The sequence below is a fragment of the Homo sapiens genome, chromosome 8, assembly GCF_000001405.40.
Source record: "Homo sapiens chromosome 8, GRCh38.p14 Primary Assembly".
In the NCBI taxonomy this organism is placed as follows: Eukaryota; Metazoa; Chordata; class Mammalia; order Primates; family Hominidae; genus Homo; species Homo sapiens.
In genome coordinates, this window is record NC_000008.11 from 71,533,648 (window position 1) to 71,557,959 (window position 24,312).

The following is a 24,312-nucleotide window of genomic DNA, read 5'->3' on the forward strand; positions in this document are numbered from 1 at the left end:
TCTTGAGCCTCTCTCCCCCACTTCCTAAAGCAAAGGAGTAACCTGAGAGCCAAAGGAAGCCCGAGGAGCTCACCCAAGTCCTCACACGAGGCCTCTGAAGAGATTGTGACACCTCCTGGCTGAGCAGTCAGCTGCCAAATTGCCAGGACACAGATTCTCCAATCAGTGCCACACAGTGTTTGCCTATGAGAAATACCCCTTCCTTGTTCTGTACCTCTGAGATAGCCAAATACCTTTCAAGACTGAAAATGCTTCACTCTCACATAATAAAAACAGGACAAAATGAGATGCAATTAGATTGCCCTCTCATATATCTTTTATTATGATGGCCAAAATAAATTCTTTTAATCTTTACATTTCTTACCTATTTGTTATTTTAGTCTCAAATCTTACTTAATATCTTCTGTCTTAAATTAGAATTTGCATAATACAAGGTATCAAAAGAAACATTATTGGCAGTATTTCTTTGCAGATATTATTAAATTAGTTGGTGATTCTCCAGTGTATCAACTTGCCTCCATCTAGGGAGCAGAGTTCATAAAAGGTGGCAGTAAGAAGTTATTAATGAGTTTATTTTTCATTAATTTTATATGAGCTACAAAAGTATTTTAACATAATAAATTCAAATATCACAGACCCAACATAGGAGTTTAAACAAACAAACAAATGAATTAAATGGGTTGAATTCGTTTTCTGTTTAGGGTAAAAGCTACATGATACGAAGTGATCTCAAAGTGCTTTATGTGAATTATCTCACAAGTTGACTTAGAATATCCATAAAATACACTCTGTAATTGCATACAGTGTGACTGTGAAGATACCTTCATAGCACTTGACCATTTGTTATTAAAATTCCCATCCAATAGCAGTTCCTGCTTATTGCATAACACCAACAGGTCTTGTAAAACATACATTTAAAGGAAACACAACAGTGTTACTAAAGATCATGCTTCAGGGACATGGATGAGGCTGGAAGCCATCATCCTCAGCCAACTAGCACAGGAACAGAAAACGAAACACTGCATGTTCTCACTCGTAAGTGGGAGCTGAACAATGAGAACACATGGACACAGGGAGGGGAACAACATGCACCAGGGCCTGTTGCAGGGCTGGGGGTGAGGGGAAGGAATTCAGAGGATGGGTCAATAGGAGCAGCAAACCACCATGTTGCACATATACTTATGTAACCTGCACGTTCTGCACATGTATCCCAGAACTTAAACTAAATAACAAAATATTAAAAAAGAAATGAAAGCTAAAAAAAAAAAAAAAAAGAATTCTACTGTGAATAAAGCTGAGCTATGAAATCACATGTCTGAAAGCATTGTATCTGACCAGGGGACTTACAGTGTAAAGTCATGGATGCTGCCCTAAATGTTGCTATGGAAATTTTCCGAGAAAACAACTTTAACTTACTGAAATATGCTTTTTTTTAAATTAAAATTCATTGAATTATTCAAGTTCTAAATAACTCAAAGGTTATTTGTAAGATGACCCCTAATTGGGAATATTCATTTATGAACCAAAGGTAGCTTTCTTTCTTCCTGATACAAACCTGTAGAAAATCTGCGAACCCTTTCTCTTCTGCTCACAAATCAACAAATAAAATATAACCTAAGTCTCTCTTATTTTAAAGCCCATTCAAGAGTTCATCAAACTGTGAAACTTCTTCACTAAAAACCTATTTTGAAGACACATACACACAGGTATATTCATAAAACAAATACATGTAAAAGAATCCAAAAAATTGACATTAATTTAAGTTTTAAGAGGCAAATATATGCTTTCCCTGAGGCAAAGAAACTGTAAGCCTAAAAATTATCTTATGCATATTGGGATAATTACATAATACTAAAGGTTAGGTTTTTCCAGTATGACTCTACTTTTGATAACTGATACCTCTGAGAAAAGATATAAATTAGGTTAGGCTGATGAAACAGTGTACTACTTAATTCATAACCTTCAAAATCATTAAAAATTGGTACATTGGTACAGAGCTTTTGACAATCTTCCAGATACTCGGGTTACAATAAAAATGCCATGATGATTTTAAAAGTAATAATTCTTTCCTTAGGACTGACATTCTGTTTACTTACAGACTGTCCATTTATCCCCCGGGGGTCTTCCATTGAAGACTTCTTCTGAATTATGTATGGGCTATTAGCTACACACTTCTTCAAAGGGTTCCAACACCCCTGCACCTGTGAACAACAGAGCATCACACAGCTGTATTAATTGTGTGGCATGAAATTCAGAGCTGGCCTTCACATCTGCAGCTTTCCATTTACCAGCATGTATACACAAGTCAAGAACACTTACCTTCACTGAATGAGTCTTTAAAATAAATATTATGGGCTCACTGTTTATCACAATTTACATGAGCCAAATGTGGCCAAATTATAGCTCAGTTGTGTCTGCTGTCAGCAGCTGCAGCCCAAGGAAAGAAAGGATGGTAGGGAGGCAGGGGGAGCAGCTAAAGATCCTTCCGCACACATTATTTTTGAGCCAGCAGTACAAGAGCTTTTTTTCTTCTCTTCTTTTTTTTTCTTTTTGAATTTAGTTTCTCCGTGCTATCTATCAACGTCAGCTGCACCACAATGCAAAGAGGAAATACTAACAAAGAAATATGATTGTAGTCTGAACAAGGATGAAAGAGAAAAAGCTAGAGTTGAGTGTTTTACCCTTAGGGCAAGGATATTATTATACTATTTCTTAGCAAGTTTACATTAGGTCACAGTTTCACGGATGATCAAGTCTGCACCTTCAGACTCAACACCTTCAGGAAGAATGGTTTGGGGGATGCTTCAAAACATGGACAGTAAATGTGGTATTTTCAAATATATTCTACATGTAGCTATCTTCAAAAAAAAATATAGCAATTTAAATGCCATTCTAATTTCCTAATGTTCAGAATTAATTTTTGTGCTCATGCTCAAATGAGGTACTCAAAAGATACTCTCAGGCTTTCTTGCTTGAGCTTGGCAACTGAGCAATTATTCTACCTCTCACATAAACACTAATGCAGCACATGTAATTTTAAGCAAAAAGAGTAAAATGCAATCTTAGTATTACCACGATAAAATTACACAACAGAGAACATGTAGTAGTGTAACTTCAGTATCACTTTTTATAAAAGTACTTGAATTTCTACATGCTCACATATTAGGAAAGCTACTATAGTGGAAGTCAAGAGATTTCAATTCAGGTTCTGACTCTGCCACTAAACAGCTGAATGATCTCATGTGAATAACATAAGCTATCTGAACCTTAGTACTCTAATCTGGAAAATGAGAAATTTTAAATGAATATCTTGCAGCTTTATATTTTACACAACTATTTCATATTTTGTAATGTAATGAGTCTATGTATTTCACACATAATTTTCAGGTAAAATATTCCAAGCATGGTTTATTTAAGAAGTAATTTTGAAGTCTTAGGAGAATTGTCACTTGTTTGTTTTGCTCAACATTATCAATGCTGCAAATGTATGCCCAATCCACTGTCAACATAAAGTTGATGCTTTTTGGACAACATAAAACATAAATAACTAGATTCTTAAAATTTAGACAAGCCATATTAAAGCACTATGTTTTTGTAATTTTAACAAGAAACAATTTCATAATGTCAAGTTGTGAGTAAATAAAAATCATATGAATGTATTCATGCTATGTCACACCAAGAAAATATAACACTTTATTTTGAATTGTACTCAACTGCAGAACAGAATCTTAAAACTCAACAGCATTGCTTTTAGAGGATTCCTTGCATAATTAGGGAAGAGATACTACAGAATATCCTAGACTGTTTTCATTGCTTAAGTTACTCTTAGGAGGCACATTAACTGTTCCAGGCACCAAGGTGGGATTTTAAAATAATGATAATAATCCTGCCTTACATTGGTAAAATGCTTTACAGTTTACCAAGTGCTTTCACACAAATTGCCCACAGTGTACCTATAAGAGGTAAGACAAAGCCCAGTCTCATTCCTCACAGAAGGGAGCAGGTCTAAGACAAAGCCCCCTCTGATTTCCCATAAATTCCCATCCTTTCCATACCTGTCTTGTGAACACGTTTCAATCAAAATCTGTATATTTGATATTCCAGGATTATTTTCCATGTGTTTCTTTCCCATATTTCCATATTGAACTTACTGAACAGTTTAAGGTATTAAGAATGGTCAAGTTACATGAGCATGAAAGGTATTTCATTTGTAATTTTATTTCTGCTGAAGATGAAACTATTCTGTACTAAATTTCATGTTTGTTATTGTTTCCTGGGCTAAAAAGAAAAGACAGATTATTGAGAAGTCAAAACAGTCAGCATTCATCGACTTCAGGTAGATGCCTCCAGTAAAAAGACTACCACTCAAAAATCAAAAAATCACAGCGAGCCGTGGACTTTATTTACAAATCCTCCAGTGCTTGCTAAATCAGTATAGTTGTTTCCAGATTTCTACATGTCAATCCAAACCATGAAATATATGACATGACTGGGTCTACTGATATTTAGGAGCCTGGCTCTGGTAAACCTTTAATTCCCTTGCTGGACTTGATCTTTCATGGTTTATAAATAAGCCTGTCTCCATTATAGCACTCATCTAGTGGAATTGCAATTATTTCTCTACCTGTCTCCCCCGCTAGACTGTAGCTCCAAGAGAGACAGAACCATGCCTTACTCTCTGGTTCTAGTCACATATGGCACTAATTAAATATTTTGAATGAATGAATAAAATGAATAAATGAATGAATGTTGTTGATACAACTTTTGAATACTTGTAAACTCTGAGCTAGAATTAAGTAGACAGTTAAATGGTGGTGCTATCATTCAATCAACTAGAAAGCATCCACAAAATTTCTGGTCCTGAGCTTTATTTCAAATATCCTAAGAAACAGGCTTAAGCAAAACTGGTGACTTGATGTTTACCTATCCACCTACTTGCCTGCCTATCTACACACATAGAGAGCAACTAGTCACAAAACTGTACAGACCTACATATAAACATATATAGAGGTGAACTTAGAGGTGAACTTCTTAGAGGCTTTGTATAAACCTAGGAGTGGTTTCTAGAAAAGGAGTAGAAGACTATCCAGGTAGGCTAATCTAGGTATAGATTAGGGGGAAACACTGATGGAGGATTAGTGGAATGACATTTGTTTGGGGAGATGTGTGGAGTACCAGAGGCAGGTGCCTTGGTGTCAGAGGTGTCCCTACAGACAGGTGCCATAAGTGTGGTGGCCATTACCAACCATCCCCAACACCTTGTAAAAGCAGGGAACTGGGTTAATCACTCACTTGTGCATCTACCCTAAATGGCCAAATCCTTTATTTACGCACTTTTGAGTCAATTATGATGGTGCCCTCCAGAGGAGGGGTGCCCCTTGGAGTTGTACACAGTGGAATCCTACCCTTCTATTCACCCCTGAAGTGAAATTTTCCTTCATAAAAAGACAAGGACTAAGAGGCATCTAGGGCCCTGTCTACCAAGTCTAACATTCTGGGTTAGCTATTCACCCTAAGCATAGAGGAAAAGCCTCTTCCTGAAATGTACTGCATCAACTCCTTAAGTAGAAAAAAAGGGTCAACCAAAAAAAAAATTGAGAAAAAGCTGCATAGTGTTAGGCTGGAGATGCATTTAATGATAGCCTGACTCTCCATATTTTGTAGCTGTATGAGACCATCTAAGAAGAGCAGAGAGTGGCATGCAGCCCCTTCCAAGGCCACCACAACACACAGGAGACAGGGTAGGGGCACCCACAGCTCCAGGTGGTAGAGCGCCTGACTGACATTCACAGTACCAAGCCAGATGCTTGCATGGGCATCTGTTGCTGAGCAGAATGGGCAGGTGGCATGAGGAACAGCAGAAGGCCTCCCAGACAACAAGGAAACAGGAGTGATGGCCACATTTGAATTGATCTTTCGAACACCTTAGGGAACTATGCCTTCTTCAGTCCTACCCTCAAAGAAACCCAGCTAAGGAAAGTGGTGGAGGAGAACTCAGTCATGGTCTTTGCTGACCATGAATGAAGGGGATGCTTTAGAAAGCAAGATTTTGGACTGTTAATGAAAAGCTAATTTTGTTAGGTAGCCTCACCTGATACAGGAATAATGGAAGTTTTAGGAAGTGTCTTATATTTGCCACTCTAGGGAGAGTGGAGTGGAAAGGAGTTGAAATCAGTGTACACATCCTAGCAAATAAACTATGGCAATAAATGTTAGATTTAGGTACTGATCTAACAGACTCTGCAGAAAACATTAAATTGAGACTATAATCTGACAAACATTTGCAAACATATAAAATCCCCCTTGGGAGCCCAGAAGCCTTGGGAAGTTGGGCCACTGGTGATGACATTGTAATTATACTGCTAAGAGTTCAGAGGTGCATATTTGGAAGTGATATTTTATGCCCTATTGCAATCCATAAGCCTATTAATTTTCAAAATACAGAATAGCTTTAAACACAGAAACTTTAAAGTACATAAAATAAAAAAAAATCTATTCTGTGCATTCCTGCCATAATTTAAACTCTCCCTGGGCTGCCAATCTTTCTTCCCAATTCTACAAACAACCCCTACTCCTTAGAAAAGAAAAAAAATATGCAAGAGATCTGAGCTTAAAGTTTTCCCAGGTTCAGTTAAATCCATATTCACTCTATACAGACCCATCATTCTTATTCTCTCCATCAGCTAAAGCCAGGCAATTGACAAAATAAGCAATAGCACCCCATTGTACAGGTAAACCTTATCTTATTATTATTTTAGTTCTAGCTCATCACAAACATCCTGGCTATTTTTAGAACAAAAGATTGGGAGAAGAAAAGTTGGAAAAAGTGTAGATTATGGTGACATGAAGCAGACAGAGAAAGGGTCAAGCCAGGCAGGCCATGGGGACAGACTTCCCAGGTTGAAGAAAAATAGGGTGGGTCTGGGAGTGGGAGGTAATATGCTTGGGAAGAAAACAATATTTATTTTTTATTTCATACATGACATGTATTTTAATTTTTCCTGCTGATTTTGAAAAATGGGTTATATTTTGGATGCCATATTTTTCATCTCTAATGAACCAGAGACCCATCAGATACTGGAAATAACTTGTGGCTCCTTGGATGAAAGAATATTTTCATTACAACACACCATCACTTTACTCTTTGCCTTCTCACCAAGTGTTGAGTTTTCTAACATTCCTGAGAAGCAGAAGGAAACTAGTGACTGAACATTGCTTTACAGAAAAGAAAAGGGCTATTCTGAAATAAGTCCCCAGAAGACTACAACTGCAGATTGAATAAACATATCAAATCAAGGGGTTTCTAAGAAAATTTACAAACAGAAGCCTGCAGTGAAATGAACCGTTGGATAAATGACCTCCAGAGCCCTACTCAACTCACTACTTCATGGCTCCAGAAGCCACAAGGTGCCATGTCTGTCACCTCTTCTGTGCTTTCTTTGCCTTCCTAAGGAATTTGGTTATATCAAAGAAACAGAGATTGGGTGTACTCAGATGAGTCAGACTCAGAAACCATATACTCATCAGTCTTTCAAACAGTGAAAAGGGGTATATCCCAACCACTGAAGATGTTAATGAAAAACAAGTTGGTCTCTACCTTGGTGAAAGTCTTAGTTGTAGATGTGGTTTCTACAGAAGTAAATGTATACACCAATACCTTTTTATAGGTTTTCCACTCATTTACTGGTACTGCTGATTTAAAGTTTTAAGGATGAAGCCTGTTTATAAAGAATAGACAGGCATCAAAGTAAATATGATCAAATTTCTGCTTCTACCATATGTGACTTCCTTCTAACTTCAGATGAAAAATGCAAGGCAAGTAGAAAGTCAAATGAACTGATGCTAATTAGAATGATGACATGCTTATTTGGTAAGGAAAATTGAATTCAATCTATATTTTCAAGAACATTAAACCTACAAATTATTTTAATATAGTACTTACTATGTGAACAACATTAAGAAAACTCTAAATAAGTGACAATTGATTATGATTGATGGCACACCCATAAGGGATTTGAGAAAGTGGTATGTACACAGCTTGAGAACCACAGTCCTATAAAGCCTGTTTGTAACGAGGAAATTCAGGCAATCAAAAGAAAATCATTTAAAACATAATCTAATTGCACATAGGAAGCTTTGCAATTTTACTAGGGTGATATATTGATTCTGCTGCATGCACTGAATTTAGGGCATTGCTAGTCTTCTTCAAACGTTGTTTTGATACAATATATCACAGAAACAGCTTCTCAGCCTACTAAGTCTACAGGATCAGTTTTAAAATAACAAGCTGCAAACAACTGGCAGCAAACAAAACTGGCTCCACTCAGTTATTATTTTTGCTGTCCAAATTAATGACTACACCTAAATGATGAATTTTCTTACTTTATTCAAAAGGAGAAGAGATACAAAATATCTACTCCTTTACTTTTTTAAACTTTAAATTTAGGGCTATATGTGCAGGTTTGTTATATAGGTAAATCTGTGTCATGGGGGTTTGTTGTACTTATTTCATCACCTAGGTATTAAGCCTAGTACCCATCAGTCATTTTTCCTGATCTTCTCTCTCCTACCACCCTTCACCCTCCGATAGACTCCAGGGTGTGTTGTTCCCCTTTATGTATCCATGTGTTCTTATCATTCAGCACCCACTTACAAGTGAGAACATGCACTATTTGGTTTTCTGTTTCTGCCTTAGTTTGCTAAGTATAATGGCCTCCAGCTCCATTATATTGCAAAGGATGTGACCTTATTCTTTTCTTGGCTGCATAGTATTCCAAGGTGTATATGTATCACATTTTCTTTATCCAGTCTACCACTGATGGGAATTTATGTTGATTTCATGTCTTTGCTATTGTAAATAGTGCTGCACTGAACATACACGTGCATGTGTCTTTAAAATAGAACGATTTACATTCTCTTGGGTATATTCCCAGTAATGGGATTCCTGGGTCAAATGGTATTTCTGTTTTTCAGTCTTTGAGGAATTGCCACACTGTCTTCCACAATGGTTGAACTCATTTATATTCCCACCTACAGAGTATAAGCATTCCTTTTTCTCTGCAACCTCACCAGCATTCGTTATTTTCTGACTTTTTAATAATAACCATCTGACTGGTATGAGATGGTATCTCATTGTGGTTTTGACTTGCATTTCTCTAATGATCAATGATGTTGAGCTTTTCTTCATATGATTTTTGGCTACATGTATGTCTTTGGAAAGTGTCTGTTCATGTCCTTTGCCCACTTTTTAATGGGGTTTTTTTTCTTGTAAATTTGTTTAAGTTCCTTATAGATGCTGGATATTAGACTTTTGTCAGATTCATAGTTTGCAGACATTTTTTTCCCATTCTGTAGATTGTCTGTTCACTCTGTTGACAGTTTCCTTTGCTGTGCAGAAGCTCTCTAGATCCCACTTGTTGCTTTTGTTGCAATTGCTTTTGGTGTCTTCCTCATGAAATCTTTGCCCCTTCATATGTCCAGAATGGTGTTGCCTAGGTTGTCTTCCAGGGTTTTTATAGTTTTGGGTTTTACATTTATCCTTTACTTTTATCTAGAAAGATCTACCACCAAACACCTCCTAATATGTTAAAAATATACCACAACAACTTGTCCATGATGGAAAGCAAACAGTGGTTACCTGGAGCAGAGGTTGGGGGGTGATGAACTGCAGAGTGGCCTGAGGGAACTTTTTGGGGTATTGAAAGTGTACTGTATCTCAAGGGTAGTGTTTACATGGGTGTACATGATTGTCAAAATTCATTGAGCTGTAAGCTTAACAAAGTTGAGTTTTAAAAATATGCCACGACTTACATTCCTAAAATTATCAACCTTTTTTTCCCAGTACCATCAAGGAGGTAAGAAACTATAGTTTAGTTTCTGATAGATGGTGACTGCCTTCTTCACTGGGTATAATATCTAGCCTTTGCCCCTCTAAATTAAACATGATGTTAGTGCTGATCTCTTTTTAGCTGTTTATCCACCAATATCCCTCTCAAATGCAGGTGAGATTTATTCCTACTTGAGTAAATTATATAGTTCAACATCCAACAATATTCATTTTTAGGTGTAGAAATGAAGAAGGGGCTGAAAAACATATCCTTGCTTTAAGAGATGAGGATTAGGAAACATATAATGTTCTTTAATATTAAGATTCAATTGATATGTCAGTAATTGATATGATCCCACAGCATTAATTTTTTTAGTATTTAATCAGGAATGAGAAAATAAATGCCCTCCTGCTCTACTCCAACACCCATCTCCAACCTGTGACAACCACAACTCAAGTTTAGCAAAGCAGTTCCCTCATTTCCTGGATGCTGACTCTTACTTTTCATTGCTTCTTGACCAGAGTAAGGATTGCCTGATGGAATCAGACTGCAGGACTGCAGTCTCAGGGGCCAAAAAAAGAAAAATAAAAAGACAGTAATGGAGAAATCATTAAGCTGTCAGAAAAGAGGCACTGACTCAGGGTTTCTTTGACTTTCACTCTTTCCTTTCCTTAAAACCAAAGGGCAACTCATATTAGAGCAAAGCTAGAAAGGTTCAAGAAATCGGTCTCCCCTCAATACTATGAGAAAAGAGTTAATGGGTGGTATAAGGTGATAGAAATATACATGGCAAAGGATGTTGTGATGGGGTCACAGAAGGAAGTCAGGGAATTCAAATTTCTATCTAGGGCAGGAATCATCCGAAACATCCTTGGCAGATAGCCAATCTGCTTCTGCATGAATACTTCTGGGAACAGAAACTCACCTCCTGAAAGCTTCTGAAAGACTAACCTTCCAGCTCTGGACAAGTTTGTTAAGCCACGTAGTCCAGCACCGGAAAGTTTAGTCTTTAGGAGGCTTTTCCTTATACTAAGCTGAAATAGAATCATCAAAGCCCTCTTCTCTAAGGTCAATTTTTCTTCTGCACCAACACAATATTTCAACATCCTCCTATACAAAATGATCCTTGAAATATTTGAAGATTACAATCTTTCCTAAAGGCTCTGCTCTCTAGGATTGAAACCTGACTGTACATCTTTTTTAAATGAGTTACTTACTTAACTTTCTGATCCCCCTCCAAAGGACCTACCTGTTGGTCAATGACCCCTGGATCTGAACACCATTGGCACTTACTGAGCTTAGGGATATTCAAATTCTTCTGCAAATGGCCTGTTTTCAAGTCGTAATTCTGCTGTTCTATATTTGGGAAACTGATTCATTTCTGTGAAATTCTCATCTTGCTAGTTTCTGCCTATCATTCAGGCTCACTCAGATTCTCTTTGACTCATGATTCCATGAGCCAATGACAGGGATATCCATTCCAGCCTTGTGTAATATGCCAACCTAAAAATCATCACTTTAGCTTTCTTCTTTCAAGTCACAGATAGAAATGATGAATGGGAGAAAGCTAAAAGCAGAGCCAGTCTGGATGAGTAAAAGGGTAGACTGAAAACTCAGTGCAGGAGGGTAGGGATTTGAGTCTGTAACTCTGGCACTTATCAACTCTATAATCTTGGAAATATTAACCAGTCTGAACCTGCTTTTTCATCAGTACAATGGCATTAATGCCATCTAATAGGATGGAAAATACTGACGATGCACCCTACACATAGTACATGCTCAATAAATAACTGTGAGTGTATAAGCACTTCATAAAGGATAAAAGGTCATAAAACCATAATGCAATATACTCAGTTGTCTACTTTTTATATCCAAAAAGAAACAGCTAGATCACGTAAGTCAATTTTCTAAGAAAAATTAGACACTTTCAGGCATTGCATTTCAGGTTACTAAGATAACAATTAGTAAATCAATACTGTTATTATAACACCTCTCTCTCTAATTATCTTTTGTATACATCTCGACTTTTTTATAGGCTAAATAACTCCACTATTAGATTTTTTTCATCGTTCTTATTTTGTTCCTTTTTTTTTTTTTTTTTTTTTGAGATGGAGTCTCGCTCTGTCGCCCAGGCTGGAGTGCAGTGGGGCGATCTCGGCTCACTGCAAGCTCTGCCTCCCCGGTTCACGCCATTCTCTTGCCTCAGCCTCCCAAGTAGCTGGGATTATAGGCGCCCACCACCACGCCCAGCTAATTTTTTGTATTTTTAGTAGTGGCAGGGTTTCACCCGTTAGCCAGGATGGTCTCGATCTCCTGACCTCGTAATCCGCCCACCTCCACCTCCCAAAGTGATGGGATTACAGGTGTGAGCCACTGTGCCCGGCCTTTTTTCCCTATCTTAATTCGCACTTTTCTCTGCTTTCTCTGCAAGGCCTTCACAAATTCCAAATGGTGACACAAGTTACACTGTGCTCTCTCTTGATCAAGGAACAGGTCTAATTTAGTTTCATTTTGTCTGACATCCATCCCTGTTCAAACCTAGCCCCAGATACCATCCCAGCACATCAGTGTCTACCCTAGGTCTCTCCTGCTCACCTGCAGCTACCCCAGACTACTCCAGATGCCCCTAGTGCCAACAACTCTCCACCTGGCCAATGCCCCTTCCACCCAGAGTCCTACCTGGTCTCCAAGTCTCATTCAAGCCACTCCGCCAGGAAGCCTTGCACACCTATTTTTTTCCCCATCCGAGTACCAGTCACATTGGATCACAATTGTCCATCAGACTGCTTGCTCTTTCAATGCAGAAACAATTTTTATCCATGTAACAAAATGTCTGGTACAATGCACATTTTCCAATAGTAGCTGAATGAACAACTCAAAGGAGAGACCCAGGACATTGAAGGTGTTGGTGTCTCTGAACAAAATGGAAGAATGCCTTCATTGACCAACATGGACATCCTGCTGTTACATTATTCCTGCACTTTGCACTCATAGCCAGGATCCTCTGTGCTTAGTAGACACTTTCTACTGATTCTTATTTTTTTTTTTTTTTTGAACGCTCTGTCGCCCAGGCTAGACTGCAGTGGCGCAATCTCGGCTCACTGCAACCTCCAACCTCCCTGGTTCAGACAATTCCCCTGCCTCAGCCTCCCGAGTAGCTGGGATTACAGGCGCCAGCCACCACGCCTGGCTAATTTTTGTGTATTTTTAGTAGAGACGGGGCTTCACCATGTTGGCCAGACTGGTCTCAAACTCCTGACCTCAGGCAGTCTGCCCTCCTGGGCCTCCCACAGTGCTGGGATTACAAGCGTGAGCCACAACGCCTGGCCCGATTCTTTTGAATATATAATCAATTCACGCTTCATGACACATTTCAGTCACTCTCCCACTGGAATTTTTTAAAGAAGCCTTCACTTTTATGAGATGATTTACCTACCTAGCATTAGTCGGTCTTGCTACCACAACAACAAAAGTCTGGTGGGCCTTAATTACCATAAAGAAAACGATGAAAAGTGTTTACACAGCGGGCATTATTCCCACCCACCCGTCCCCAACCCTCATAAAAGCAGAGATCTTGTTTATTTTTCTTTGCTTTCCTAATTATTCACAGAAATAATAATTCTCCGAAAGCAGACCCCTCCAATTTACCTCTACTTCTTTTAACTCGCCTCTTTGACTTGGACCAATCAAACCACTTTTGGCCAAAGGAAAGGCCTGGGCCAGAAAGCGCTAAAACTAAGTATCTGCCTGCCTGGGCTGCCCTCCAGATGTTTCCCATTACTGGAGCTTCGAGCTCACGCACATGTCTAAGATGGCAATCACAACATCATATCAGGCCAAGAGGACCCTCCCCTCCGTCCCCCGACGTCCCAATCAGTTACCACCTCCCCGAAGGAAAACAAACCGGCCCTTGACACATCCCTCCACGTGCAGCGCCCGACGCCACGGGCCTTGGGCGGCTGCACCTCTCCCCTGCCGGCCACGGCTCAAGGCCCCATTATTGCGCGCACCCAGCTCCCTTCCAGGTGACTTTCGCGTACCTGGCGGCGGCGCCCTAGGCCTCGGAGGCTGCCCGGGCGGGCTGGGGCTCGGGCGGCGCTCGCTGAGAGTCGCGGCGCCCCTCAGCCGCTTCCCGGGCGCCGATCGCCGCCCTCCTGCCCCGGGGTGGGGCCCAGGGGCATCAGCAGCCGCGGGCTCTCGGCCGCCGCCTGGGAACTCAGGGTCAGATTTAGTTTCACAACAACGTCTCCTCGTCACGGCAACCCAACTGGAGGCAGAAGCCGGCGGGGCGGCCGAGCGGGGCGGGGCGGGAGCGCGGCCGCCGCGAGCCACGGTGGGGAGCGGGCGCGGGGGACCCTGGCGGGCCCCGGGCAGCGCGGCTGCACTTACTTGTGTCACAACTGCGGCGACGGGGGGCTGAGGAACCGGTTCTTCCAAAAGCAAACCGAAAATGGGTAACAGAGAGGCCGGGGCAGCGCTAAGAGGGGTTCTGCCTCGGTGTTTAGGGCAAAAAACCCGGCTCCGGCTTCCAGAAATTCGAGCCAGCGGTGGCTTTTTCTTTCTTTCCTCTCTAAACGCTCCTGTGCCTCCGGGTCGAGGGGCGCCCTTCGCGCGGCTCCGAGTGCACAGCGACACCAGGGCTGGCGCTGGAGAGGGGAGCCCTCTTCCCAGCACCCCTCGGGTCTCCCCCGTACCCCCACCCACAGCCCCTTTCCTGGGCCCGACGCCCCTCCGCTCTGCAGCCGGAGCCTGGGCCTGGTGCCCACTGCCCCGCGGGGTGTCTCGGACGCCTGGCCCCTGCAGCGTTTTCTACGGAGAGGCCTCAGAAACAGAAGGAGGGGGTGGTGGGTTAGTTCTGTCACCGCGAGGAAGCTAGGTGTGCATGGGGAGGTCCTGAAGGGGAGGATGGGTGGAGTGATTTGGTGATTTGGGGCGAGGGGCTGTAGGTTGGATGTAAAGGAATATTCAGTCAGCCTGAAACTTATTAAAACATCTGGGATTCAAATACCTTTAGAAGTGATCTTAAAGGTATGTATTCTAACTTCTTACAGATAGCGTAACTGAGGCCAAGAATGGTAAATGGATTACCCCAAAGTCGGGCAGGGGAGCCTTGACTAAATGCCCAGGCCTAACCCATTGTCCTTTCTTCTAAACTTTTTGCCTTTCTTTGCACCAAGGGACGCTTTGAGCTGGTAGGGGGAAGTTTCTGTAACCCCAAAATTCCCTTGTCTCTGTAACTTAAGGGGAGCTAGAGAACCTTGATTCGACCTGCAAAGTATTTCAGCATTGGATGAAGCATCCATTACAAGCCAGTAATCTGAGATGTTCCTTCTCCAGGATCTTCCTCTTACTTGACTGGGGAATCCAATCAGGAGCAGTGAAAGATATGCAAATACCTTGATGATTTGCTCTTATAAGGACTCATCACTTCTCAGTGAGCATCAGAATGTTGGCTCTTCTCTCCCTCAGATGAAATCCCTTCCCCATCCCCCACTCAATTGTTCACATCCAATGAGATCATGTAAGCAAAAGGGCCTTAGAAAGTAGAAAGCATAGCATGAATGCAGGTATTATTGTACATACTCTTTCAAAATTGTCTAGATTCACACACTTTACTATTGTTTCTGTCAGTCATTGAGTATTTGTTGACTTGTGCTAGATGCCATGAAGAGTCAGAACAATGAGATCTAATCCTTCACCTTCAAAGGCCACAGATTATAGATTCTGTGATAAGACCAACACACAGGAAATAATCAGAAATCTACACAAAGACTGATTTTTTTTTGGTCCTTAACTGTTGGATATTTTTATGTTTTCAGACACAGAAACTTTCCAAAATAAACCATGTATGTTGGGTGAGGGAGACTTCATGTAGAAATCAATGCATCAATAAACTGTTAACCCAATAAAACCCCAATACCTTGCCCAAATAGAAATGTTAGTTAAATTACCCAGTTGATGAGGATGGCTTTTCCTTTTTGAAAAGGAAACTACTACCTATGCTTTCTACCTATTCATAAAGAATTACTATAACATAAAAAAGCAAATCCAGAGACTTAAAGATTAGGTGATCAAAAATTTTATTTGAGGGAGGAGGGGAGAAAAAATAACCCAAAGCTACCAGATATAAGTATTTGCTAAGAACTTACCAAAGGCAATGAAAGTTTCTCATGTCAAAGATGGCAGGCATACTATCTATTTGAAAATCATATTTTAAAAATCAATTTATATAGTTCAGAAGTAACATATCACCTAAAATTTTTATGTATTAATAGAAGAATTATTTTGATACTTTATCCTAGTATTCTTAAAGTTTGAGAGAACAGTTCTCAACCCAAATATCTGACCATTTTATTTTTTTAGGGAAACCCACTTTCATATGGCCTTGGATAAAAACCGATCTAAATGTTGAACGAGTTTCTGAATTTGAAGGTGTGGAGAATTATTTCATCACTACTCTTTCAGAAAGGCCATATGTTTAAAATATTGGCAGTAGTGGATTCAGAAGATAGAGTCATATTCAAAATTTTTTATTTAGGAAAGTTATTTGCACAAAGTACATTTATTTTAGCACAGTATAAAATTCTTCATATTCTCCAAAACGGGAGTAGCAGGAGCCAATTCATCCAGTATAATGTATTCCAGACACTTGCTGGAATAAACAATGCTCTTGAGCCCCTCAGATGCATAGCCAATAGGGAGCTGTTGACTACTTGAGGTTTTTACACATCACTCAGCCAGATCAGAAATCCAAATCCCAAATCAGTCACAGGCAAACAGCGTGGATTTACAGTCCTGCCTGGGTGTAGGGTCACCACCTGCAAATGAGTTATACCACCAGAGGTGGGTTTATTTTTTATTAAAGTATACTTCATTTTTAAATTTTAGATGAATACAAGTATGAATAAAATGTTTAATACAAATTTAAATGTCCTTTGCACCACCAAGCCAAAATAGGCTAGAACATATATTCATAATTATCCATCTGAGGTTATATTTGAGTTTACATACATATCTTGATATAGACATAGATATAGATATATTTATCTGTAGAATTTCCATGAATAACTAAAATATGCCATAAGGAGTCAATTATGTATCTGTTAGTTTATATTGGACTTAGAACATTCAGCTGTTTACATATTATAACATGTTAATCCTAACTGCTATCCTAACCTAAATTATGTACCATAAAGACATGACAATGGTTTTTTTCATAAGAAGGCACAAAAATTGCTGAAGTATAGAGTTATCTGCTGGCTTATGGCATAAACACAGAACACACGTGATAGAAATGTGCATTTAAACTCAGGTTCTATTCATATTCTCAAATACAGATCTACGAAAGGCAAAGGGCAAAAATCAACAAGAGTTTCTAGTTCTTTGAACATTTATATTCTGCCTACACTCACAGGTTAGGTATGTTGTGACCAGTCCTGATTCAAAAGAAATTCTCTCTTTCTCTCTGTCTCATTGTCTCACACACACACACACACACACACACTTTGAAAATTTCTTCATTATTTAGTTTAGCAATGTATTTTCCTATAGAAAAACTTCCAAATACACCTAAAATGAGTTATTCTTAAGAAGGAGAATGAGGATCCAACCCTTTAACTGAGATCAAGATCTATTCCTGAGCATCAATGAGAGAAGACTGGACCATGTGGGAACAGCTTAGAGTGAAGCCAACTCCCCAGGTGTGAGTTAGGAATTTTCTTATATACAGAAACAATTTAAAGAAACTTTGAATGGATGAATCATTTGTTTCCAATACTGGGCTTTTTACTTTCACTTAGCTAAATCACTTATTATGGTGAGGGATTATGTTAACTCTTTCAATATAAAGTGCATCTCTTCAGTCTAAGGAGCATTAGTTGAAGGCACTAGAATAATAATACCAACAAAAGTTATACTAAGACTAAAGATACAATCTCTAAGCTCTAGGACCTTTATATAAGTACATGCACTCTTTAATCTACTGGAATATCCTGTAATCTGCAAATTAATTTATATGCACATTGATCCCCTAAAACATGTATGAACTAACCTAGGGAGAAGTTTACTCACTAGATAGGTTTATATTACATGAGCCATAAATTGTGAGTTTTCCAGCCAATTTCTTATTACATTAGGACTGGTTTTCTAAACAAGCTATTGTTGGCTAACATTAGGAAGTAAATTTCCCCATCAAGACTTCTAAAGGACATCACCAGATTCTTTAATTATACCAGGGGTTTGGGAGGTAGGCAGTGAAAGAATCTGGGATGAAGGGAACAAGCTTACTTTTATCTTCATTCACTGTCAGCTTAGGAGACCAAGTGAGGAATGCAACACTAGGATTCTTGACCAGATTTCTACTAAAGCAAAGACTTAAGGTTAGTTTTCAAATAATGTTTTACCTATGTCTCATAAATAATTACTATGCTAAACTTTACTGTATATTTAATTAATTAAAAAGGAAAACCTGTCCTGTTGAACATTTCCTTTTAGTGAATCAAAGTTATTGAAATAAAGTGTTTCTGCATGTTTAACTTAATTTATCTAATTTTTATTTTATCACTTTTTTCTCTTGACATAATATGTATACATACATGTCTATATGTTTTTGTTGTCATACATATATATGTCTGTATATATGCTTTTTGTTGTCAACTGTTATAGGTGGAGCTTTCCTAAACTTTCAATTTACTTTTATCCAGATTATTCTACTTATTGCCATATCCATTTGTGAGCTGACGTTTACAAAGAGATGATATTTAGCAAGTGCTTTTGGGGAATATGATTACTCAATGTGTCAGTCACATGTTCTCCCCCTCCCCCTGGAAAAGGCAATGGCTGATTGTTGTTTTAAACTGTCTATATCATATGACAAACAAACATCAGATTTATTATTTTTTCTCACAAGTAGGGAATTTTTAAAATAGCACCTTTTTCTTCAAGAATAAAATTGCAGGTGAATTTTAAAAATAATATTCATCATTTTGTTCTTCCCGTATGGTTTAGAACAGAACTGCATGCTCCACAAGTAAACCCCAATGGCCAGCAGAACGGAAATGCTTCAAAGTTTGACTCATGAAGAGTGGACCTCAAGTTTATGACTTTTAGATTATATTTCCCTAGACATACTACTTGCACTTATCTAGGTTCAATCTCATTTGCTCTTTCCTGACCATGCTTTTGGCCGATAGCTGATAGTACTTTTGTTGACTTTGGTTTACAGTTGTAAATTACTGTTAAACTTTTTAAAAAGAAAAATCTATTTCATTCTGTGAGTTCTATCATCATGCAAAAACAAAACTAAACAGGTATACCCTTATTTCACAGAGGCCAGGATATGAAAGCTTGGATTCATCAAAAAGATGTAACATTAAAGGTTTTATTTTATAAAAACATAGACTGGATGGAGGCCCATTGAGACGAAACAAGCAGCTCTCCTTTAGCCAACAATAAACCTGAAGAATAGTCCTAGAGGTAGCAGTAAAAATAATTTTCAGACTTCCTTGCCTTGTATGCCAAACCAAGCACCACCAATGTGCCAAAATTAGTGCCAAAGGAGTAGTGGAAAGAGGAAAGCAAACAATACAATACATTGTTTGTTTGATAAGTCTAAAATATTTAGAGTGAGGAAAATTAAGTTTCCAACATGGTAATTGTCTTTACTTCTTAACATATAACAAGAGGCACTGAAAAGCTATTTTGGGTAATGAAAATCTAAGTATCCTTGAGTATTTGTCAGATAGAGAGCTGAATTGCTGATTGGGGTTGACTTGTTTTGTTTTCTTGTCTGCTTTTTTTTGTTTGTTTGTTTATTCCTTGCCTCCATGTGGTTTCTCTCCTAACAGAGATATTTTGTTTGTGTGTATTGTTTGGCTAAGATATTCTATTTTATCAAATAAATGTATTATTTTTAACCTATCCTTTAAGAAACAAAACTGAAAATTGCTTTATAGCATCAGTTAAAACCAGTGCTCTTACATGATATTAAATATGTGTATAAACTGAATCATAACTCAAAACCATATGTTTATGGTGAGTTTGAAAGGAGGGACTCCAAAGGATAAATTTTATCATTTATTTTTCAGAATGCACAGAATACTAACAACTATTGGCCATTTTATTCTGAAATATTTGTCCCAGGATTTCACTTAATTTGCTGAAGATAATGAGGTAAATGGCTAGCCCAAATTTTGCCTAAATCTAACATAATGTAGATACTTCCCTTAAAATCATAGAATGTATATAGGCAAAAGGAAAACTCAAATAACAGCTAAGGAAAACTACTGATCAGCTGGGACAATATGTTTGTTGGAGTAAAAACCAGTTACTCATTCACACGCATACGTAAACAAGAAAACATATGAACCCTTTGGTCATTGCAGTGTGATCCCTTATAACAATTTTTAATCTTTGAAGTTATGTATAACTTCTTAGCAGTCTCAAGTCACTAATTTAATAGGTCTGGGTCGTGTCGCAGCAACTCGGATAATTCTTACATGCAAGCAGATGCAATGATATCCACGGAGGCAAAACGTGGCGTGCATTTGTTTACCTGTACTCTGTGCTGTTGGAAGCGGATTGCCAGTGAGGCCGGACACAGGGGGATATAAACGCGTGTAGAAAATTAATTGTGAGCTAGAAATGCTGATCAAATCGTTTGCATAACAAAGCAGTGTTTACTGTTAAGAAATACTGCAAATGTGGTTGCAAGGATCGAAAGTGGATGGCTCATTTGATATGAAAATTGAGCTGGGGGGAGAGAGAGAGAGAGAGAGAGAGAAAGAGAGAAAGAGGGAGAGGGACTGGGGTCGCCCGCAGGTCTGTGGCGACTTGGGAGGAATCATATGACCAAAGACCAAGAAACGACTTGAGCCTAGTTCATATAGTTAAGCGAAATTCACCTCAGGTAGAAGGGTTTTCTCTCGTCGATTTCACCTTCACTCTACGGAAATCTAGCAAGGCTTATCTCGTTTCTCAAGCCTAGGACGCTGGTGTATTTTGAGGCAGTCTCCTAGAAGTCCTGGGAGACTCTGGGAGCTGGTACTGTGTGCAGGCGCGACCTATAGCTCTGCCTGGTGGATCTGCAATTCGATTTCAGGCCTTTTTCCCCCTCGGCATTTTTTTTTCCCTGACTACTTGAGAGGAAAAAAACAAAAACTGTATAAGAAACTCGAGAAGAGACTGTGGGATGCAGAACCGCACACGTGGTCCTGCAAATTGGATAGGAGACTGGGGGAGGCGGGGAAGAGAGGAGAAGTGAAACTAGAAATTATGGTACAGCTTTAGAATTCGAGAATCTCCATTGTTCTTTCCCAGTCTGTATTGTTTTTGGTTCTTCACAGCTGCACTTATCCAATAAAAGTGGAAGAGCGAAGGTGATGGTCTGAACAGGGACGTGTCTATAGACAGAAATGTACAAGCAGTATGTGGTGGGGATTTTTGCTGGGAAACCTCAAAAGAGAGATGCAGTTCCTGAGGCTGTTTCTAAGTAGTTGTAGATTATTTTACCAAAGATTATGAACAGTTTCTTTGTCCAAATCTAAGACACAGAGATGTGTCACCTCCTTCAAACAGGACATTCGAATTTCATTCCTTTAGAGAGCAGTCAAGCCCTCAGGAATTAGAGAAGATGAAAGAACACCCTTTTATGATATGTTTTGGGTAGCTAAACAGGTAGGCAGATAAATAAAAGAAAGTGGACTGCTTCTGGAAGCTGTTTTGCTTCAAAATGTGCCTTTTTTGGCTAAAAATAATTTATTGTAAATAAAGGGAAAAGACAAACTTCTGTCAATGTAGATGCATAATTTGATAAATAAAATCGAAAACGAATTTTCTTTGGAAAGGAGAAGATAAAGTGCTACTTCTGATATCTCAATCAAGTCAAGATTTAAGAAAAATTATTCCCCAATAAGAATGTTGTGTTTTGTTTTTCTTTTCTAACATGTCTTGAATTAAACAAAACCTGTTAACAAGATTGTAATGAAAACTTTGCATGATCTAAACATCCAAAGACAGAAATTCTAGATTGACTGTATTTGGGCACCGCAAAGATTTTATTGCTAGATATCACCGAAGTAGTGGAACCAGAGGCTGTGAAAGCAGTGGGACTCTACCTGGGGCCGGGTGCCAGGGGGAGACTTTAGAAAACGTTTCCCCAATTTAAAAAAAAAAAAAAACTGCATGAAAGGTTGAGCTAAGCTTTATTTTTTCAGGATATATTTTCAAATGTATAGGTTTTGAAGGCCAATTGCCAATTCACGAATATATGGAAATAAAACACAAGAGCAAATGCCAAATGCTTCTTAAAATCACGGGGTTTTTATATTCATGTGGATAATGGAGAGAGATAAAATGATAGATAAAAGCCCGTTTGGGTTTGTCGTGGATTTCCATACAAGACAGACATTTTCTTAAGTTTCCAGATTCTTCATTTACAAACACTTGTCTAATATTTTAAGCTTCCCACACGGCAGCAGACATTTCCTTATTTTGCTTCTCGGAAGTACTTGGGAAAAGATAACCCAAAAGATACTTCTAAGTGAAGCCCGTCCTTGCTGGTTGACCTCAGGAAACCATGGGAAGTGTGTGGCCATCTCTGCAAGGATGCTGGGTGTGAAAAGGTGAGGGGACTTCAACTGATATCCACCGTCCCATGTCCTTGTGGAGCTTTGAATAACACTTACTTAGCACCATTCTTCGGATGCAAGGAAGGAAAAGGAGAGAGCTCCTTCGAGTGGGAGAAGTGGATGTAAGGGGCATTTTATGATGCCTTGGTGAGGAGGGCAAATCAAGAAAGTCCCCTGGAGCTGCTGAGTTCCTTCAAGATTTGGTAAGTCTGCAGATGAGGCCTGCGGGTGGAGCGGGCGCCTAAGCTGCGGATCACTCCTGCGGGCGCTCGCTCTCTCCACGCCGCCGCCCGCGCGCCCGCGGCAGCCACGAGCGTCCCGGGCGGGGAAACGCGTTGCCTCCCGGCGGCGCCTATTACTAGCAGCTGCTTCTGCTTAGCCCTTCGAGGATCGGTTTGCCCCAACCCACGGCCTCTCCCAGGGTTCGGTCTTCTCCCGCCCCTCCCTCCCTTCCCCGCCTCTCCCCCAAGCTCCTCAGTGGCCGCGGCCCGTCAACACTGTCGCGCAGTCACTGGCGCAGGTTCCCAGCTCTCAGCTGGGGGTTTCGGGGGGAGGGAGCAGAAGGAATGAGACAGAAGGAACGGGAGGCTTTAAGCCCACCGAGGGAGGTTAGAGGAAGGCGCTGTGGCTGTGGGATTAGGAGGCCACAGACGGGAACCGCGCCGAGCTAGACTAGCTGTAGAAGGCTGTCTCTCCACCCCGCCACAGCGCTCCGAGAAGGAGCGGGAGGCCTGGGCAGGGGAGAGGCGCTCCTGCCCCCACCCGCGCCCTGCTGGCCACCTGTGGCGTCGGGGAGACCACCTGCGGAGAGGGTGCAGGGATGCTGCTGCCCTGACGAGGGGCCTCCCGGGGACTAGCGAAACGTTTCGCCTCGCCGGTGCCGGGGGAGAGCGCATGGTGACACCAGGGCAGAGTAGCCATGGCGGTCCTCTCCCTCTTTCTGGCACTCCACTGTCAGCGTCGGCTAGAAGCAAACGCCCAGGAAGCACTAACCGATGCACACAAGGTTTCGATGGACAGGGACAGGAAAATCGGCTCTGCAGCGCGGGGGAGCGCAGGCTGGAGGCCGGGCCACTGAGGTGGCCCCGGCTGAGCGACTGGCGTCGGTTTCTCCTCCTAGCGCTAGGCGGGAGTGGGACCCCGGGCCACAGCAAGAGTCGCCGGGTGAGGACGGGCCCGGCCCGTGGCGCCTAGCTGTAAAGGGCCCTAATGCTGCGCGTTTGTCGCAAAGGGAGGCCTGTTCTGACACCAAGGAGTGTCAGATACTTGAGGATAAGCTTCCGAAGGGAGTTTTCACCTAGACTGCCGCAGTATTTTGGAAAATGAGCCTCATCTGTGACTAGGATGAGTTAGATTTCCGCACCCCTGCACAGTTCTGTTCTGCTGGCTTAGCATGAGGAACAATAACATCTCCCCAGCCCAGAAGTGACCAAAGAAAAATGGCCTATCGGGTCCTTCTCCCCGCCCACTGCCGAGAGTAGGGGGCTCATCTGTCAGTAGAGGGCACACCCATTCATGCCTGTGTCATATTTGACAGCCTGAGGGATCTTAGCGATATTGCAGTCGTCCAACCCTGCAGTTCTGCTGAAGAAGAAATGAGCATTCCCAGGGGTCAAGTGACCTGCCCACGGTGACATCGCTGTATGCCAAGCGTCTAAAATAGTTCCTGGCGCAGGACGACCCACCAGTAAATGTGTGTTCGATGAATGAACACTCAGCAAGGGGATCGTAGACTCTGGATCCGATTCCCAGTGCATCTCCTCTAACCCAAGTACGGAGTAACAACAGGCTGGGGTGTTTTCCTCCCAATGCCGCGCTGCAAGGCCAGGACACAGCACTCCCAAACCCAGATGCCCTCT

General features: G+C 40.6%; 1 protein-coding gene and 2 long non-coding RNA genes across 21 annotated transcripts in view, besides 1 other annotated feature; 1 reads left to right on the forward strand and 2 right to left on the reverse strand.

Annotated features, from left to right (window-relative positions):
- The window catches only part of EYA1 (EYA transcriptional coactivator and phosphatase 1), a 350,662-nt gene extending 336,215 nt beyond the window's left edge, over positions 1-14,447 (reverse strand). For 8 of the 16 annotated variants that reach the window (XM_047421522.1, XM_047421524.1, XM_047421519.1 and 5 more), the window contains exons 1-2: positions 13,868-14,057; positions 2,097-2,201 (exon numbers count right to left, since the gene is read on the reverse strand). In XM_047421522.1, the coding sequence (XP_047277478.1) occupies positions 2,097-2,129 (33 nt within the window). In that variant the 5' untranslated portion in view covers positions 2,130-2,201; positions 13,868-14,057. Of the gene's footprint in view, positions 1-2,096; positions 2,202-13,867; positions 14,058-14,216 lie in introns of those variants that run through there. The other 8 variants (XM_047421528.1, NM_001370336.1, XM_011517484.4 and 5 more) reach the window with 3 other exon arrangements.
- LOC102724772 (uncharacterized) lies at positions 13,998-20,174 on the forward strand. 4 transcript variants are annotated; one of them, XR_929033.3, is made up of 5 exons: positions 13,998-14,048; positions 15,165-15,261; positions 17,379-17,527; positions 18,136-18,205; positions 19,913-20,174. It is a non-coding gene; the product is annotated as an uncharacterized LOC102724772 (long non-coding RNA). The 4 variants fall into 4 exon arrangements; XR_929035.3 differs by having other exon boundaries at positions 18,141-18,205; XR_428360.4 differs by lacking the exon at positions 19,913-20,174 and adding an exon at positions 18,834-19,053.
- Positions 16,342-21,122, reverse strand: LOC105375892 (uncharacterized). The gene is made up of 3 exons (XR_929032.3): positions 20,729-21,122; positions 18,114-18,184; positions 16,342-16,645 (listed from the first exon to the last, which is right to left on the reverse strand). It is a non-coding gene; the product is annotated as an uncharacterized LOC105375892 (long non-coding RNA).
- Positions 23,035-23,947: an enhancer, noted in NCBI's record as "H3K4me1 hESC enhancer chr8:72468917-72469829 (GRCh37/hg19 assembly coordinates)". NCBI's record gives its function as "activates a minimal SCP1, AML or CMV promoter by ChIP-STARR-seq in primed H9 embryonic stem cells {active_cell/tissue: H9 hESC(primed)}" and the evidence as "EXISTENCE:reporter gene assay evidence [ECO:0000049][PMID:30033119]".